Here is an 18,414-nt window from a genome sequence, read left to right as displayed (position 1 = left end):
TCTGCTGAAAAGTTTATTTCAGGTTGAAATGAAAAGGAAATGTCTTAAATGAATCCAGCTGTTTGTTTCAGTTCTCATTTTTTAACTAGTTGAGCCCAGCATATTGATTTTCAGAAAAAAAAAGATTAAAAGGCTGCAGATGTATACAGCCCAGGGTATTGATTTTGGGGGGAAATTCAGTCAAATAATCAAAATGTCATTTCTGGATAAGAGTCCCCATCTTTTTGGATTTTAACAGGAAAATAACGAAGCCCTCCAGCGGACTGGGGAGGAAATAGACAGTAATTCTGCTGCTGCTTGTGAGCAAGTAACCCATTAGAAACTGGATGTAGAGAAACCCCTAAGGAAAAGTCTTTTTGCTTGTTACTCTCCCGTGTTTTCAGTTTTGAGCTCTAGACTGCGAAGGAAAAGTAGGAATACTTTTTTCATAATATTAAAAAACTATAATGTAATAATTTTTAAGATGCAGATTTCCAGGTCTCCAAACTATGAGACTTTGATGCAATTGGTCTGGCATGAGAGCCAGGAGCCTGCATTTTATTTTATTTTATTTTATTTTTTAAGATGGAGTTTTGCTCTTGTCTCCCAGGCTGGAGTACAATGGTGCCATCCCGGCCCACTGCAACCTCTGCCTTCCCAGGTTCAAGCAATTATGCTGCCTCAGCTTCCTAAGTAGCTGGGATTACAGGCACCCGCCACCATGCCCGGCTAATTTTTGTATTTTTTTTTTTTTTAGTAGAGACCGGGTTTTGCCATGTTGGTCAGGCTGGTCTCGAACTCCTGAGCTCAGGTGATCCACCGGCCTCGGACTCCCAAAGTGCTAGGATTACAGGCATGAGCCACCACACCCAGCCAGGAGCCTGCATTTTAAACTCGCACTGCACCTAGCTCTCTGAGAGCTAAGGAAGTCCTTCTGAATAGGTACTTCAATGATTCCCAAAACTTTTTCTTGCCATGGCACACGTTAAAAATGATAGACTTTGCCTAGCATACTGGAGTAAACAGATGGGATAGTTTCTAAGGATTAACTGAAGTTTTTGAAGGCCTTGATTATCATGGTAATTATACTGATAATTAACTGAATTCTACAGAGAATGAAGCAAATATGGACTTTGCCAGAGGCCAGGACTTTGCCCCCTTCTTTCTCCACCGACTCCCTCACAGGCTTCCACACCTACAACCACCCACTAGCCAAGCACCCCTGAACTGCCGACTGAACCTGGAGTAGGGCTAAGGCTGGGCCAAGAAAGGGAAGGGACTAGGCCCCCCAAGAGGAAGACAGTGAACAACTTTTTTTTTTTTTTTTTTTTTTTTAATGAAATGGGATCTGGTTCTGTCACCCAGGCTGGAGTGCAGTGGTACAATCATGGCTCATTACAGCCAATCTTCTGGGCTCAAGTGACCCTGCCACCTCAGCCTTCCGAGTATCTGGGATGACAGGCATGCACCACTATACCCAACTAATTTTTTCATTTTTATTTTTGTAGAGATGGAGTCTTGTTTTGTTGCCCAAGCTGGTCTCAAACTCCTTGGCTCAAGCAATCCTCCCACCTCAACCTCCCAAAGTGTGTGGGCCAATGTGCCCGGCCTCAACTTTTTTTTAAGGTAGACTTTTGATCACCAAGTTGTCATATAGTTACAAAGTTGTTAGCAATTTCTGAAAGGGTATTATTGCTTAAAATAAATCACTCTTACATAAATAATACCTAGTACTTAACTGGGACATACTGTATGTAGACCAAGAGCAGGCAGATGAGGGTGCACACCTCTGATTCTCAACCAGGAGTGATTCTGCCTTCCCCCTGCCCCACTCAGGGGGACATCTGGTACTGTCTGGAACCATTTCGATGATTGCTACTGGCATCCAGTGAATAAAGTTCAAGGCTGCTACTAAACACCCTTCCATGCAGACCAGCTCCCTACCACAAAGAATTATCTAGCCCAAAATAGTCATGGCGCTGGGGCTGAGAAACTCCTCCTTACATGAACATGTGGGAGGACAGAGTGTGTCTCAAAGGAGTTTTTCGTTTCTGTGAATGACAGTGTCTGGCTGAAGAGAACATATTTTGTTAAGGTGAAGTCTGGAAAGAAATGCAGGTTTAAATATTGTCTGTAAGTCAATGTTTACATTGTGTTTCAAGTTCAGTGCTGCTGGTAATTGTTTGGACCTCTGAATTGGTGATTGTGTCAGCCTAACTGCAAACCATTCCCATGGGGACCTGGGTACAACACCTCTTAGGGCACAATGCAGAGCCACATGAGCAAGTGGCAGTACTGTGACTACTTTTTGTTTTGTTTTGTTTTAAGAAACAGCAGCATTTCATAGGAAATAAGCATTAAACTGGTTGGAAAGAAACTGTTTTCTTTGCACTGACTTATAACCTCATATTTATCCCACACTAGTTAATGCTTCTGAAAGACATTATGGAATTCTTTGCTTTTAGAGTGAAGACATAATGACTGCAAAATAAATTTGCCAAAGAAAATCCTAGATGCTAAATGAATTAACAAAATCAGCAATATGTATTCATGGAGAAAGGCAAAAGCCCTCAATTAGACTTAAAATTTCCAAATTGAAACCTTGGACTCTGACCCCTGTGCATCTTCCAGGTCTTTCTGTCCACCTGGAGCACAGTCACTGAGACACTAGCATATTCCCAGACAGGTCTTGCCCTGCCATGGGCAACCAAGGGGTCTCAGGGAGATATACTGGATCCTTCTCTGTCTGGTGGCTAATCACACTGTGCACCAAGCTTTTTTGATGTGGCTACTCAGCACAGGGCTGGACCAGCCTGCAGGAGAGATTTCCTTTAGAGCCTGAGCGTAAATAGAAGCAGAAGACCTTCTGTTGCTGGGCTCACTCACATCACTTCCCCTTGAATAGATGCCAGAGCAGGTTGAAGGAGAAAACTCGAACTCTGCTCCTTTTCTTTGCTACCACTTCCGTTTTTCATTTTTACCCCTCAAGCCAGAAGGTGAAGGCTGTGCTTTCCTTTCCATCTTTTTTTTTTTTTGGAGATGGAGTCTCACTTCTGTCCCCCAGGCTGGGGGGCAGTGGCACAATCTCGGCTCACTGCAACCTCCGCCACCCAGGTTCAAGCGATTCTCCTGCCTCAGTCTCCTGAGTAGCTGGGATTACAGGCGCACGCCACCATGCCCGGCTAATTTTTGTATTTTTAGTAGAGATGGGGTTCCTTTCCCTTTTCTATCCAGATGAACTTCCTCCACTAGGCTCATGCCAGGAGGACAGGCACAGTGCCTTCCTTCTTCCTCACTTCGGCCTCAAGGCTAAACTTAAGGACATACACACAGTACAGGAGAGAGAACTCACAAAGAATAGCTAAGGAGAAAGATAATTTTTAATACTCTACTCATATTAGGTATGATCATCACCTTTTTACAGCTAGGAAATCAAAGTGAAAAAGACTTAAATTACATAGTAGGTGGTGGAGGCAGGATTATTATTATTATTATTATTATTATTATTATTATTGAGATGGAGTCTTGCTCTGTCCCCAGGCTGGAGTGCAGTGGCACCATCTCGGCTCACTGCAACCTCCGTCTCCCAGGTTCAAGCAACTCTCCTCCCTCACCCTCCTGAGTAGGTGGGACTACAGGCATGTGCCACCACACTCAGATAATTTTTGTATTTTTAGTAGAGACGTGGTTTCACCATGTTGGCCAGGCTGATCTCGAACTCCTGACCTCAAGTGACCGGCCCAACTCAGCCTCCCAAAGTGCTGGGATTACAGGCATGAGCTACTGTGCCCAGCTGAGCATGTGTTCTTCTATGGAAAAACACTAGTGGGAGAATTAGAGTCATCCTTTCATTAACTGTGTGACCTGTCTTTGCCTCAGTGTTCTTATCTATAAAATATAGATGATTATAATGATGCCTGCTTTCTGGGAATGGTCTAAAGATCAACTGAGTTAGTACATGACAGCATAAAAGCATGATGCAAATGTCAGGAGGAATTATTTTTGTGATAAATTTGGTACCCATCACATTGGTGATGAGAGAACTGACTCTCATATTCAGGAACTACTGGTTTTTGTGTTTCTTTTTCTCCTTGTTTTCAGAAATTATGCTGCCTAATTAAAATCTCCATTAACTATGGATGAATGATTAGCCTCTGTAGTTATTATCTAAAGAGATATTGCTATAACAACTTTGACTTTTAGACTCCAGACTAAGTGTTTGTTCAAAAAAGAATATTTCATTCCTAATAGCTGCATGTTGGACTGGTCTAGTCACTGCAATTACCACTAAAAGCAAATGTCATAAAAAATTAGTCTCTGTAAGTAGAGTGTGAGTTTTCTGAAAAGGAGATTTACTTTAGAATTAGGCTTTGTTTCATCTATTATTAACAGGATTTCATATTACCCTAGTATGTGTCATCACCCACCTTCTCTGGAAACTCTGATGGCAGTCCCATCATTATTCCTTTTTTTGTTTTGCATTTATCATCTATATTGCATAGTTAATACTTAGGTTACTGGCACTACCTCACATAGTGGACACCTAATAAGACCCCCTTCCTTCCTCAACACTTCTTCTATTAATAAGGCACTTCTTTATCAAGGGGAATCATTTTCATGTGGTTAGAAAGGAGCTGAATCTCCTTCAAAGAGCCAGATCCCCTTCCAACAGTGACTGGTTCAGGAACAGGCACATGGCACAACCTGTGATGGAATGTTGTATTGCATGTATTTTTACCTTCATCGTAAAATCTTCCTTTGGAAAAGCACTCTCCAGCAAACAGCCTAGGAACCTTCCAGAGCTGGCTCCAAGCCCTATCTCTTCCCTCTCTTCCCACCTTACCAACTTTTTCCTGCCTTCTGACCCAGCCATACTCTGAATACCACCCCATGTGCACTTCCTCATGCCTGGAAGGTCTCTCCCCAACTTGCCTGATAAACTACTACTCAGGTTCGTAGATTGTTTCAAATGGTAATTCTGCAAGGAATTCTTTTGATCTCGTGAAGTCACAGTTTTTTAATTTAGAGTCTAGAGCCCTCTGTTCATATTATTCCACTATTACAGCACCAACTATACCACCATTGTAATGTATCTGATTACCTGTAATTTTCCCCAACCAAACTAAGCCCCTTTGGAGCAAAAATCATCTCTTAATTGTCTGTAATCCCAGTACCTTGCATGCTACCTGGCACACAGTAAGTGCTTAATAAATATTTGTTGAATGAATGAGTTCAGGGACAGGCTTCATCCTCGAGGTCAGCTGATGTACTCTAGGGATCCAATAGAAGCCTCAAACCATGGCAAGAATGAAAACATCTGGAAAAAAAGCACGGATACACAAATGCACACATCTGAGTTATTCTCTTTATATTCTCCTTCCCTACTTAAAAAGTTTTATAATTTGTTTTTGTTTTGTTTTGTTTTGTTTTTTTGAGATGGAATCTCGTTCTGTCACCCAGGCTGGAGTGCAGTGGCACGATCTCGGCTCACTGCAACCTCCGCCTCCTGGGTTCAAGCAATTCCCCTGCCTCTCCCTGGTAGCTAGGAGTACAGGGCACGCCACCACGCCTGGCTAATTGATTTGTATTTTTAGTGGAGGTCGGCTTTCATCATGTTGGCCAGGCTGGTCTGGAACTCCTGGCCTCAAGTGATTCACCTGCCTCTGCTTACCAAAGTGCTGGGATTGCAGGCATGAGCCATCGCGCCTGGCCCAAAAGTTTTATAATTTGAAGCCAAGTTGCATTTTTATAAAGCTGAGTCTTAAAGGAATTCTCTAAAAGAATAGAACTAAAGAATAATTTCACATGACATATGGTAGAAAAAGCCCTGGGCTGGAAGCTGTGACACCTGGTCTTTGTTTTGGTTTGGCCACTGTTTAGCAATCAATTAATTAATTGTCAAGCACAGCCCCTCTCTAGGCTCAGAACAAGGAGCCTGGATTAGTTGACTCTAAAACAGCTCCCAATTCTATTAAATGACTATGAAAACACTCTGATCTGTGCCATATAAAATTGATTCATTTATATTCTTTCATGATTTGGGTTTTCTCATTATTTTTTGTCACCACAAACTTTCATTAAAATTACCTCATTCATATTTGTCAAGGCTTTTTCTAGATCTAAATGACAAAAATAAAGTATTGCTTCTTGGAGTCTCCTTCCGAATGGCTTCCTCTGTCTAAATTTCTGTCTCCAAAGCATTTCCCTCTGCTCAGGCCAGGAGTGTAGGACTTCCAGCTTAGGTGGATGTGAAGTGAATCAGGCATGGTTTGGAAGTCCCCTCATGGACAAAGAATTCCTCGGGAAATAGTCACCTTCGATGTGTTTTAGCCAGATTTGCCAACCTCATATGTTGCAACAGAGCCAGTTCTAGGCGAAGTTGGCTCTAGAGCTGCCTAGGGCACTGATCTACAAATGCTATTAAATCATAAATAAATTAATAATTTAAATTTAGTAAATGTAAATATGCATTGCCAGGCATCTCAAGCTCCAGACATGCTTCCCTACATACCTGAAGACATCAAAATTGGCTCTACCGTAACTTAAGTGGTCAGTGCATTTGTATGAGAAAAAATAAATTGTCTACCAAGTATTTTTGCAAGGCATACAACAGGCTGCTCTGCAGGCCTCCCCATCTGCAGGCCTTGACATCACTGTAAGTCAGGCAGTAGACAGTTACCTGAGGTCAGCAGAGCCATACAGTTGAACTTCTGAAAGATAATAGTACATGATTCTGTAATGTTTACAAGAATGAATCACTTATTTTAATATCTCAATTTTGGACAGTTTACTATGCCCCCAGGTAGTTGCCTAGTTTGGAAAACTTGCATGTAATAAACTTATCTTGAACATTTAAAAAGCATACAACCTCAGTAAACGTAAAATTAATTTCTCTATATGCGATGGTTAATTATATCTATTGACTTGATGAGGCTATGTTCCCCAGTTGTTCTGTCAAACCCCGATCTACATTTTGCTGTAAAGGCATCTTTCTGATGTGGTTAATATTTAAATGGGTAGACCTGGAGTGAAACAGATTGTACTCCACAATATGAATGGGTCTCATCCCATAAGGTGAAGGCCAAGGAGCAAAAACTGAGGTTACCCAAAGAAAAAAGACTTTGGTCTCAAGACTACAGCATAGAAATCCTGCCTGAGTTTACATATGTTTCCTCACTTAATTCTCACCATAGTTCCATGGGGGCAGGGGAAGCATATTATTCCATTTTTTACAGATGAAAAATCAAAGCTCAAAGAGAGTTAGTAATTTGCCCTATGATGAATACGTTGGAAGCAGCAAATCCCAGGTTCAAAACCAGGTCCCCCGACCTCAGAGTTCATGCATTTTCCAACCACTACGTGGCTAACCTCCTACAAGCAAAATGTACAGAAGAGCACATTCACAACTTACTACTTGTATTTAGTGTTCAGAAGTTTGACTAGGCTGTGTCATGGTATGGATTTCTTTGGGTTTACCCTGCTTGGAGTTTTCTCAGCTTCTGGAATCTATAGATTTATGTCTTTTGCCAAATCTGAGAAATTTTCAGCTATTATTTTTTGACTATTTTTTCAGTTTTAGCCTCTCTCTCCTCTCCTTTCATACCTCCAATGGAAAAAAAAAAAGTTACATCTTTTATTATAGTCTCCCTGGTTTCTGAGATTCCTTTCAATTTTTTTTCCTGTCTATTTCTGTTAATCAGACTGGGTAATTTCTATTGTCCTCTCTTTAGTTCACTGATTCTTTCCTCTGTCTCTCCCACTCTGCTGTTGAACCTATTCATTGAATTTTAAATTTCAGTTATTACATTTTTCAGTTCTAAAATTTCCATTTGATTCTTCATTATACTTGCATTGCTTTGCTGAGACTTTTATTTCTTTGCAGAGACCTGCAATTTTTTCATTTGTTTCAGGTTTGTTCATAATTGCACTTTGAATCATTTTTATGATGGCGGCAGTAAAATATTTGTCAGATAACTCTAAAATTTTTGTCATCTTGTTGTAGACATCTGTTATGGGCTGAATTGTGTCCCCCACTTGAAAATTTTTATATTGAATTCTCAACCTCCAATACCTCAAAATGTAATGGTACATGGAGATAGAGTCTTTAAAGAACTAATTAAGATTAAATGAAGTCATATGGGTGGGCCCTAATCCATGTGACTGTATTTGGAGATAGGACCTTCAAAGAGGTAATTACATTCAAATTACACCAATAGGGCAGGACTCTAATCCAATATAACTGGTGTCCTTGTAAGAAAAGACACATGAGGGATGCACACTCACAGAGAAAGGCTATGTGAGGGCACAGCAAGTAAGAGTCACTTGCAAGCCAAGGAGAGAGACCTCCATGGAAACAAAATCTGCCAGTACCTTGATCTTGGATTTCCCAGCATCTAGACAGTAAAAAATGTGTTTGAGCCACCCAGTCCATGATACTTTGTTATGGCATCTCTAGCAAACTAATACACCATCTATTTATGGTCTCTCTTCATTACGTTTGAGATCTTCCTAGTTTTTGGTATAATGAGTGATTATCAATTGAAATGTGGACTTTTCTGGTTTTATGTTACAGGACTCCAGATCTTAGTTAAATTTTGTATTTTAGCTTGCTTTCATTGATGCACTTCTAGCAAGGCAATGGAAGGCTCTGCCCCATTACTGTCTGGTAAGGGAGGAAGTTTAAGTTTCCTCCTTGGTCTCTGTGATGGTTGATTCTGGATGTCCATTTGACAGGATTTAGGGATACCCATACAGCTGGTAAAGCATACATTATTCTCGATGCTTCAGTAGACATTGAGCTCATCCCTCTTCTGCTGAAAGGGAAACCCAGGTGGTATGTTATTTGATTAGAATGATTGGGCTCCCCCAGGTGTGTCTGTGAGGGTGTTTCTGGAGTAGATTGGCAGATGAGTCCGTGGACTGAGTGGAGAAGATTTACCCTCAATGTGGGTGGCCACCATCCAATCAGCTGGGGGCTCAGGTAAAACAAGAAGGCAGAGGAAAGGTGAATTCTGGCTCTCTTTTCCAAAGCTGAGATGCCCTACTTCTCCTGCCCTTGGATGTCAGAACTCCAGGTTCTCTGGCTTTTGGACTCTGGGACTTGCATCAGTACCCCTTCACCCCAGGATCTTGGCCTTCAACCTTCCAGTGAGGTTATACCATCAGCTTCTCTGGTTCTGAGGCCTCCAGACTTGGACCAAGCCACACTACCAGTTTCCCTGGTTCTCCGGCTTGCAGATGGCCTATTGTGGGACTTCTCAGCCCCCATAATCAACTTAGCCATTCCCCTAATAAATCCCTTCTAATCCTTTTCTCTAGGATATATGTCCTAGAAGACATATGATACATATAGAGAGACAGAACATATAGATATATAATCCTATATTTATATATATCCTATTTTATATATTATATATCCATATATACTTATATATAGTATAGTATTTATAAGTATGTATACAGTATATATACACTTATATATCCTATATATGATATATATACACATATACTTAAATATATCCTATGTTTATATAAAAATAGGATATATATATACACATACATATATATATATATATAGGATATATAGAGAGAGACTGAACCTATAGAGATCCTATTGGTTCTGTAGCTCTCTCTCTATATATATATAGAGAGAGACAAGTTCTATTGGTTCTGTCTCTCTGGAGAACCCTGACTAAAACAGCCTCCATTGACATCCAAGGGGTCTCTTTGTACTGCTGGCTGAGGCAGGAGATCTAGCTCCCCACTAGGCCTCCACAGATACTTCTGTAACTGGTGGATTTGTATGCCTCATTACTTCTTCCCATACAGCTTCCACTGACCCCACAAGGAAGTGAGTGACCTCATTTCCGCTGGGCAGTGGTGGAAGTCCTGTCTCTCTACCAGGCCTCCTCTGATACCACCCCAGCAGAGGCGGGTGCAGCGCCTCTTCACTGCTGGGTTGTGGTGGAAGTCTAAGCTTTCCCAAAGATCTTCAGGGATACTGCAGTGTGAGGGGGTCTCATTACCACACAGTGTGAATGAAAGCCTTGTTCCCTACCCAACATTCTCTGACACCACCTTGGTGAAGCGCTTGGGGTTTTAAAGATTGACAAGAGTAGAAGTCGGGATGCCCCCTTAGCACTTTGCTGGTGTGGGTGGGGGTGTGGCCACAGATTTTTCTGTGGTGTTTGGCTGGAGTAGAGTGGACATTATGTAAACGTTTCCTGTTTTGCGAGGCTGCCCCTTTTCTGGTTCTTTGGCTAGAGAGTGTGGGCTTTTATCAGGGCTGTTTCATGTGTCCTAGCAGGCGTTTCTAAAGTGCCAGCTTCTTCACCTTCTGGACTGGAATTTATGAAGCAAAAAGAAAACCTGAAGAACTCACCACAGTATCATTTCTTGTGTGCAGAGGTCCCTATGCAGTATGCTGCCTTCTCCCCACCTTTCACAGTCGTCTTATGCTTGTTTTATATATTAATAGAATATCCAGGGCTTTTAGTTGTACTTAGCAAGAGGAATAGGGAAAAATATGTCTACTCCATCTTCCTAGAAGCAAAAGGGTTGATCCATTTTTTGAGCACCCGAAAAGCCAATTTATCAAACAATTTTATAAATAACTTTAAGTGGAAGAATAATCACTGCAGATCTTCAAAATGTTTTTCAACCCGTACCTGTGGGCACTTTGACTTAACCTAATCCCAGCCTACCACCATCTTTTTGGATTTCTCTCTTTTTTCCACTTCTTTTCACTGGTCTTTCTCCTTCCTGTCTAAAGAAAATCCAACAAATTTTCTTCCCCACACTTCCTTGAAATCTTAGTGAAGTTTATCAACTGTCTGCCATGTGCTTAGCTTGGCAGACTGTGTCCTGCTGAAATTTTCCTTCACAGAAGGAGGGAAAGCTGCTGAGAAAACATGGAAACACAGAAAGAGGAAAGTAAAAAGTACCCAGGGAGCCTCTGAGTTTGTGTGTGCACGTGGGTGAGGTCGCCAAAGGGGAGCAAACCTCCTACTTCCTGCAGCTCAGATTACTTATCAATCAGAGGTAAGTGTTATTAGCAACTTTTTGTCCTAAAAAATATGGATGTGAATTTTTTTTTTTTTTTTTTGCTGACTGAGTCTCACTCTGTCGCCCAGCCTGGAGTGCAGTGGCGCGACCTCGGCTCACTGCAAGCTCCTCCTCCCGGGTTCACGCCATTCTCCTGCCTCAGACTCCCGAGTAGCTGGGACTACAGGCGCCTGCCACCACGCCCGGCTAATTTTTTGTATTTTTAGTAGAGACGGGGTTTCACCGTGTTAGCCAGGATGGTTTCGATCTCCTGACCTCATGATCCACCCACCTCGGCCTCCCAAAGTGCTGGGATTACAGGCATGAGCCACCACGCCCGGCCAGATGTGACTTTTTTAACCAAAAAGAGGCTAATGCAACTCTTTAAGGATAGAAAAACATTATTCTCTGAGTGCAATGACCCTCCCATGTGACCCAACTCCTTTGTCATCCTTTCCTCAATATTAAAATCCTCATTACTAATGTGAATACGATTAGCATTTTAATTATGTACTTACCTAAAAACTGTGTCTTTCAGGGTTGGGCACAGGGGCTCATGTCTGTAATCACAATGCTTTGGGAGGCTGAGGATTACTTGAGGCCAGGAGTTCAAGACCAGCCTGGACATCATAGTGAGGTCCCCTCTCTACAAACAATTTTTTAAAACTGCCAGGTGCAGTGACTTGTGCCTGAATTCCAGCACTTTGAGAGGCTGAGGCAGAAGGATCACTTAGCCCAGAAGCTTAAGGCCAGCCTGGGCAACATAGCAAGACTCCATCTCTACAAAACATTTTAATAAATTAGCCCAGCATAGTGGCACATGTCTGTAGCCTCAGCTGCACAGGAGGCTGAGGCAGAAGGATCACTTGAGCCCAGGAGTTCAAGGTTACAGTGAGCCATGTTCGCACCACTGTGCCCCAGTCTGGGTGACAGAGGGATACCCTGTCTCTAAAAAAAATTTTAAAGACCCCATTTTTCAGTTTTTCCCCATCCAGTTTTCAGTATTTAGAAATCCTGGCGCTGAGGGTTGGGCCCTGAAAACTGCTCTGGGCCCCCCACCAGCTTTATTTACAACCCCACACAGTTCCCACACAGCCACAGATGGGTCCTGAGGCCTTAGTCTATCACAGATTTCTTTCTGGAATGCATGAGGAGTGACCCAGATTTTTCAAATGCCTACAATCTCCTTTGAAATAGCAGCTGCTTCAAAGGAAAGATCTATTATAGAAAATACAAACAAATATTTCAGCTGGATGCTACTTGGAGATTTTATAATTTGCCACTTAATAGGATTTTTTGCATTGGCAAACAGAAGGCATTCTGTCACCGTGAAGCATTTCAATTGATTAGAGTTCAGCATCACATAGCTAAAAGGCAAAAATAATCTTACCGTTCATCTAACTAAGTAGATCAGCCAGAACGCTTTATAAATACAACTCAAGAGAGCTAAGCAAGCTGTGATAGGCGATAAGACCTCTGTAACCAATTGCAAACACTGCTAATTTTTCTAAGCCCTTGGTCAAATCATTTTTTTCTAGGTATTGCCTTAGAGAAAAAGCCCTATTTCTAAATTTCTTCTGGAAGTGTGATTAAAAAAAAAATCCATCTTATTGAAAATTTCTTGCCATTGTAGGCTGTTCCTGAGACACCCCCTGACTTCCAACAGAAGAATATACCCTTAAGACAGATTAATTTTATAAACTATGACTTTTTAATCTTTATCTACACAACTACACTGGGAATAGTACCTTGAATTCATTATGTTTTTCAAATTAAATTTAAATTAATGAATTTCTCATGCATGCTGCACAAAACCATCTACTCCATAATACTTATTTGTTACATATTTGCACTGTGCTTGCTGGACATCACAAAAGGCAAGGTTGTTGGTTTTGACTGGTGCCAAAAGATTTTTTAAATGAAAAATTAAGATTTAAAGAGATCGATACAAAAAATAATTATTCCTATCTGGAACTCAAGTCCATGGTTGGTATGTAAACTATATTAAAATCAAAATTCAATCCATCTTTAGTATAGACACCTTCAAATTCTATTTACTATTTTATATAAATGTTAATACTTCTAACAGCTTCATTAGGGTAGAAAAAAATCCTTACCATTATCTGGCAGTGGCAGGTAAAAAAAGCATGTAAAAATGCATTTGAAGCATCATCTCCCTGGGCACTTGGTGACTTTGCCTGGGCACTCAGCTTCATGAACACAGAGCCAGCATTTTAACCTCTGTCTGGGAATGTCACAACCTGGTTCTCCTTCCTGGCTCCCTCCTTATCTTGGCATCACCCCATCTGCTCCACTGGCTTGGCCTAGCCTTAGCCCGATGGGCTGTCTGGTCTTCTTCACGACAGGATGTCTAGGAAACCATTCCACTCCACCCCAACTTGACCTTGACCTCAGTCTCTGGATGAATTCCCTCTCTTTCCATCAGAGTGGGCCTCAGTCAGGGCTGCAACCTCCACTCCCCTCTCTGCTGCCACCACCCTCACGCAATGGATAGACCACTGAGAAGCAGGTAAAACTCTAGAAAATGAACAAACAAGCACTTTAGTTCAGAGAAATGGACAGGATCAGAAATCACTGGTGTACATTGTTTTCTCTGGGATGAGAGGTGCAGATTGTTGAATTCTTCACACTCAGTTCACAACACATTATCATCAAAGATCTCTACAGGGTTCCCCTTTTGTGTTGTTAAAAAAAAGTAAATCAATTAATTACTTTTTATCTTAGTATCATAGCCAACTGCTTTTCCTCCACTCCTTTATGAAAAACCATTCTGACATGTGTACATGATTTTTTTTGTTAAGTGCATTGCTACAAAATTTTCATTGGGGTGTGTGTGTGTGTGTGACAGAGAGTGTGTGGGTGTGGGTGTGTGTGTGACAGAGAGAGAGAGTGTGTATGTGTGTGTGATAGATCTCATTCTGTTTCTTTTCTCACTTGGGATTATTTTTAAGCTTCATTATGTAGCTATGTATAACTCAATCTGTTACTTTTAACTACTGCACAATACCCCATGTGCACGTTCCCCACATGGATTCTACTCACTCTCCTAGTGATAGTCACCCAGCCTGCCTAGAACTCCTGCCATCACAAATAACATTGCAAACATCCTCACATGTCTCCCAAATGAAATGTCGTGATCATTTCTTTAGGTTTATACTTGAGTGGATTTCCTAGGCCATCCTGGGGGGTAGACGCTATCAGTGCCATACCCACATCTCATCGTCTTATTGCAGGCCAGGCCTCCTTAACTGCCAACGGCGAGCACCTGCACTCTCATTCTCAGCAGCCCTGAGCCAATGTATGAGGAGCCTTGTATATAAATACCCCAGCTCTTTCACCTCTTGGATGGGAAAATTGGGAGGTTCTTGTTCTACACCTGCTCCTGGAAGTCCCCAGTTAAGCTCCAGTGACTCACAGCGGAACTTGCTTGAAAACATGCCCTTATTGAGTGCCTTCCCTTCCTACCAGCATATCCTGGCATCATCTCCTGAATAAGCCACTTCCACTTAAATCCTTATCTAAGGAGCTGTTTCTGGGAGAACCCAAACCAAGACATAGAGGGTATCTTTACCTTGACTCAGTAGTATCAGGTTGTTCAACAGAATGACTGCCCGGATCACACTCCCAACTGCAGTGAGGCGGGTGCTGCCCATGTCCCTCATCCTCTCCAACACCAACATCGTCTAGCTTCCCCATTTGTGCCCATCTGACTGGCTTACAGTGATATCTCACTATTATTTTCATTTCCATTTCTCCGATTGCAAACCCTTTTGAGCTTTTCTTTATTTGGTGTGCTTCTATCTTCACCTCTCTGTGAAACCCTTCTGCAATGGAGACAATAATAACAGTGAACACTTAGATCATCCTTGCAATACTCACACCGCATTCTTTGACTCACTTAATCATAGCAACCCTAGGTACTATGCTGATCGTCATCTGCATTTTGAAGATAAGCCAAGGCACAGAGATGTTAAGTGACTTGCCCAAAGCCACATGGCTACTAGGCAATAGAGCCGGAGTTTAAGCCCAGATTCAGGCTGAGAGTCTGTGCTTTCAGTCTTCTCTCCTGCTGCCTTTTCCTAATCAATATTTGAAAAGCCTGTCCCTCTTCCATCCTTCAGAGCCTCCTATTCCCCTTCCTGGTAAATGAAGAATACAAGGAGTGAGTCCCAGAATTGGGCACGGAACCTCTGCAACTGCACAATGCGAAATATACCTGGTCAGCACAATCAGTACAGAAAGAAATATTCTGCTTAACTAAATACTCTGGCTAATGGAAGATGACATGACTATCAAACTGGGATGTAAAAAATAATAACCTAAAGAGATATGGTCTATATTCATTTTCTATTTCTGCTATAAAAATTACCACAAATTTAGTGGCTTAAAACAACACAAATGGATTATCCCGCGATTCTTCAGGCCAGAAGTTCACATGAGCTCAATGGATTCCTCTGCCCTTGGTCCCAGAGGTTGACGTCAAAGTATCAGCTGGCCCAGGCTCTCATCTGAAGGCTCTGAGGGAGAATTTGCCACCAAACTGATGCAGGTTGCTGGCAGAATCATGTTCTGAATTCTTGTTTCCTCGCTGGCTGAGTTGTCGTCTTCTCACTGGCTGGGAGATGTGGCCTCTGTCAGCAATGTAAGGCCACCTACACTACCCATCATGCTGCAACCTCCGTCCTCAAACCAGCAACAGTGCATCCCATCCCCCTCACACCTCTAATCTCTCTGACTTCCGCTTCTGCTGCATCTCTCCTGAACTCAGTCACAGAACATTCTCTGTGTTTAATAGCTGTTAAACACAGCTGTTTATTAGATTGGTCCACCTCAAAATTGATTAGATTGGGTCCACCTCAAAAATCCAGGATAAACTTCTGATTTTATGGTCGGTTACCTTAATCACATCTGCAAAATCCCTTTGGTGTGTCATATAATATATCCATAGGTCCCAAGGATTAGGACATGGACATCTCTGGAGGGCCACTGAGCCATCACAAGGTTCTAGTAGGAATCTGGGGTCACCATTCCGAATTTCAATGGGGGTAATAATAATACCTACTTAGAGGACGATTATGAGAATTAAGTAAGTTAATGTTTGTAAAGTGCTTAGAACAATGTCTAGAAAGTACTATATAAGTGCTTGTTGAATGGACACATGGATGGATGAGAGAATGAAATAAATGCTTGAATAAATGAAGTTCTGAATTTACTTTAAAGATTAGAAGTATAGGTGGCTAAGCTGAATCTTTTGTCATCTAACAGCAAAAATGGGACATATTAAGTAGCTTACAGAACTAATTTACTTTAAGGCCCAGTTAGTCAATACATCTCTGCTCTGGCATGGGCTTTGGGATAGATAATCCCACATGTCACATCATACACTGTGGGTTGTTTTAGAGCATTTATGGACCTTGCCTTGGTATCCGTAGAAATACTGATTTCCTGGAAGTTGAGAAGTAGATACAGGCTTTTGTCTACACTTGATGGAAACTCTTAACTTCCACATTCCCATAACTTTCCACAGTTCCTTTGCTGTACTCAGGACAGAGATAATGAACAAAGAGACCATAAATACCAGGCTATTTTCTAGTTTCAGATTGCTTTCATATCCTGAAGAAGCAGCATGATAAAGTGAATTTGAATCTTGCCTCCGCTATTTACTGGCTATTTGTTTTTGGAAAACTTCCACATCCTAGATGCAAAATGGAGTTAGTAATAGCTGCTGTTAGAACTATAACCAATGTAATCTAGGTACCTAGTGGTGCCTGGCACATGAAATAGGCACTCAGAGAATGGCTACTATTATCATAACATTATTTCTAGGCATGCCAGATAAAATATATGATGTCAGTTAAATTTGAATTCTAAAGAAACAATAAATACTGTTTTGTACGTCCCAAATATTGGGTGGAATATAATTTACACTGTTTTTATTTGCTAAATCTTGCAACTCTAATTATTTCATTTGACCCTTATGACACCATGGAAATACATATTGTTCCCACTATACAGGAGAGGAAACTGGAGCTCAGAAAAGTGTTACAAAGTGATCACAAATACATTGAGTGATAGAACCTGTTTTGTTTTTGTTTTTAACCAAGATCTTGCCCTCCCCTCTAAAGGAGACTCTGTTGCTTTTCTCTCTTTATCTTCATCCCACCTCCAAGGTGCTTAACACAGCCACCTAAACATAGGTGCTCCATACATAGACTGTTGACATGAACAGACAAAGGAGTAGCATGGAACTGTTGTGCTACAACAGACCCTCCCTCACTCCAGACAGGAGTGCTGCAGCCTCTCCCAGCAGGAGAACTGACTTGAAACAAACGGAATGAGATGAGGTGAATGCAAAAGAAAGATGAACGTTCATTCTACTCTTAGTTCATACTGATAAAGCGTTATCTTTCAGGCAATATTTATTAAGAGTCTGCTGTGTGTACCCAGAAATGAGCTTGCTCCCTGTAGGTGTGAAGTGGGTGGACACGGAGATATCTCAGGTAGATCATTAAGATCCTCAAGGTCAGGAGCCAGGACATTTTCTTGTGTTTTGCATTGTGGCCACATATCCCCAGCTCCCACCTGCATTATTTTAACTGCATCTTGTTCCTTGTATCTTATTAGTGTCCTCGCCAAAGAATGAATAGAGGATCTAAAGTTTGAAATAAGTATTGACTACTAACAAGTCATTCCAGTTGAGGTTTAGGTTGTCTGCGAGATTTCACTAAGCCAGGCCAGAGTTATAATAGCCATCAAAGATTTGGCCTTATCAATAATGATATCAAGAAAGAGGTGGAAGAATTTTAAACTCAGCTTTGAGTTACTCTCTTTTGGAGGCAAGCCAATTTAAAAGAAGTCACCGTAAACCTAGAGTTCAGGGATGAATCTCTGAGATCCTATTGTAGGCAAACTCCAGGAGAAGTGTGATTTCCACAAAGTATCCTGTCTCAGGTCCTTTTTCAGTCTCTTTGGAATAACTCAGATTTCTTATTTCTGCAATCACACACAAAAAAATTGTTTCCTATAGTTAAGTACATACTCAGAAAGAAGAACACACTAGTGCTGAGGCCTTCTGTAAGGTGTTAACTCACGTGGCTACAACAGGTACCCTTCCGTAAAGAGAAAGGAGGCCTTCAATTACCATTGCACCCAGAAGGCTTTCCCTTCTCTTTCTACTATGCATTTTGCAGACTTTTTCACAACTATTTCCACAGCCTCTTTTTTTTTTTTTTTTTTTTTTAACCATTGCAATGGTGCCCTTTTCTGCCTATTTTAGCTTTACTTACATTGATTTACTTGGTTTTGTGGGAAGGCTGAATTTGGAGTATTATTTTTAATCCTTATGAAAGAAAGTCCCCATTCCCCCTTTCT

General features: G+C 41.4%; 1 long non-coding RNA gene across 5 annotated transcripts in view, besides 1 other annotated feature; it reads left to right on the top strand.

Moving 5' to 3' along the window:
* Positions 1 to 17,381, top strand: part of LOC105378005 (uncharacterized) — a 92,629-nt gene extending 75,248 nt beyond the window's left edge. For 4 of the 5 annotated variants that reach the window (XR_001744344.2, XR_942996.3, XR_007059769.1 and 1 more), the window contains 2 exons: positions 10,865 to 11,019; positions 15,165 to 17,381. This is a non-coding gene — a long non-coding RNA (uncharacterized LOC105378005). The remainder of the gene's footprint in view (positions 1 to 10,864; positions 11,020 to 15,164) is intronic. The other variant, XR_007059771.1, reaches the window with a different exon arrangement.
* Positions 10,510 to 11,709: an enhancer, noted in NCBI's record as "MED14-independent group 3 enhancer chr6:131677980-131679179 (GRCh37/hg19 assembly coordinates)". NCBI's record gives its function as "activates an origin of replication core promoter dependent on BRD2, BRD4, P300/CBP and CDK7 cofactors, and independent of MED14, by STARR-seq in HCT116 cells {active_cell/tissue: HCT116}" and the evidence as "EXISTENCE:reporter gene assay evidence [ECO:0000049][PMID:35650434]".
* Positions 17,382 to 18,414: the final 1,033 nt, after the last annotated feature.

Source organism: Homo sapiens, chromosome 6 (genome assembly GCF_000001405.40).
Source record: "Homo sapiens chromosome 6, GRCh38.p14 Primary Assembly".
NCBI classification, from domain to species: Eukaryota; Metazoa; Chordata; class Mammalia; order Primates; family Hominidae; genus Homo; species Homo sapiens.
This window is presented reverse-complemented; position numbering and strand designations above follow the sequence as displayed.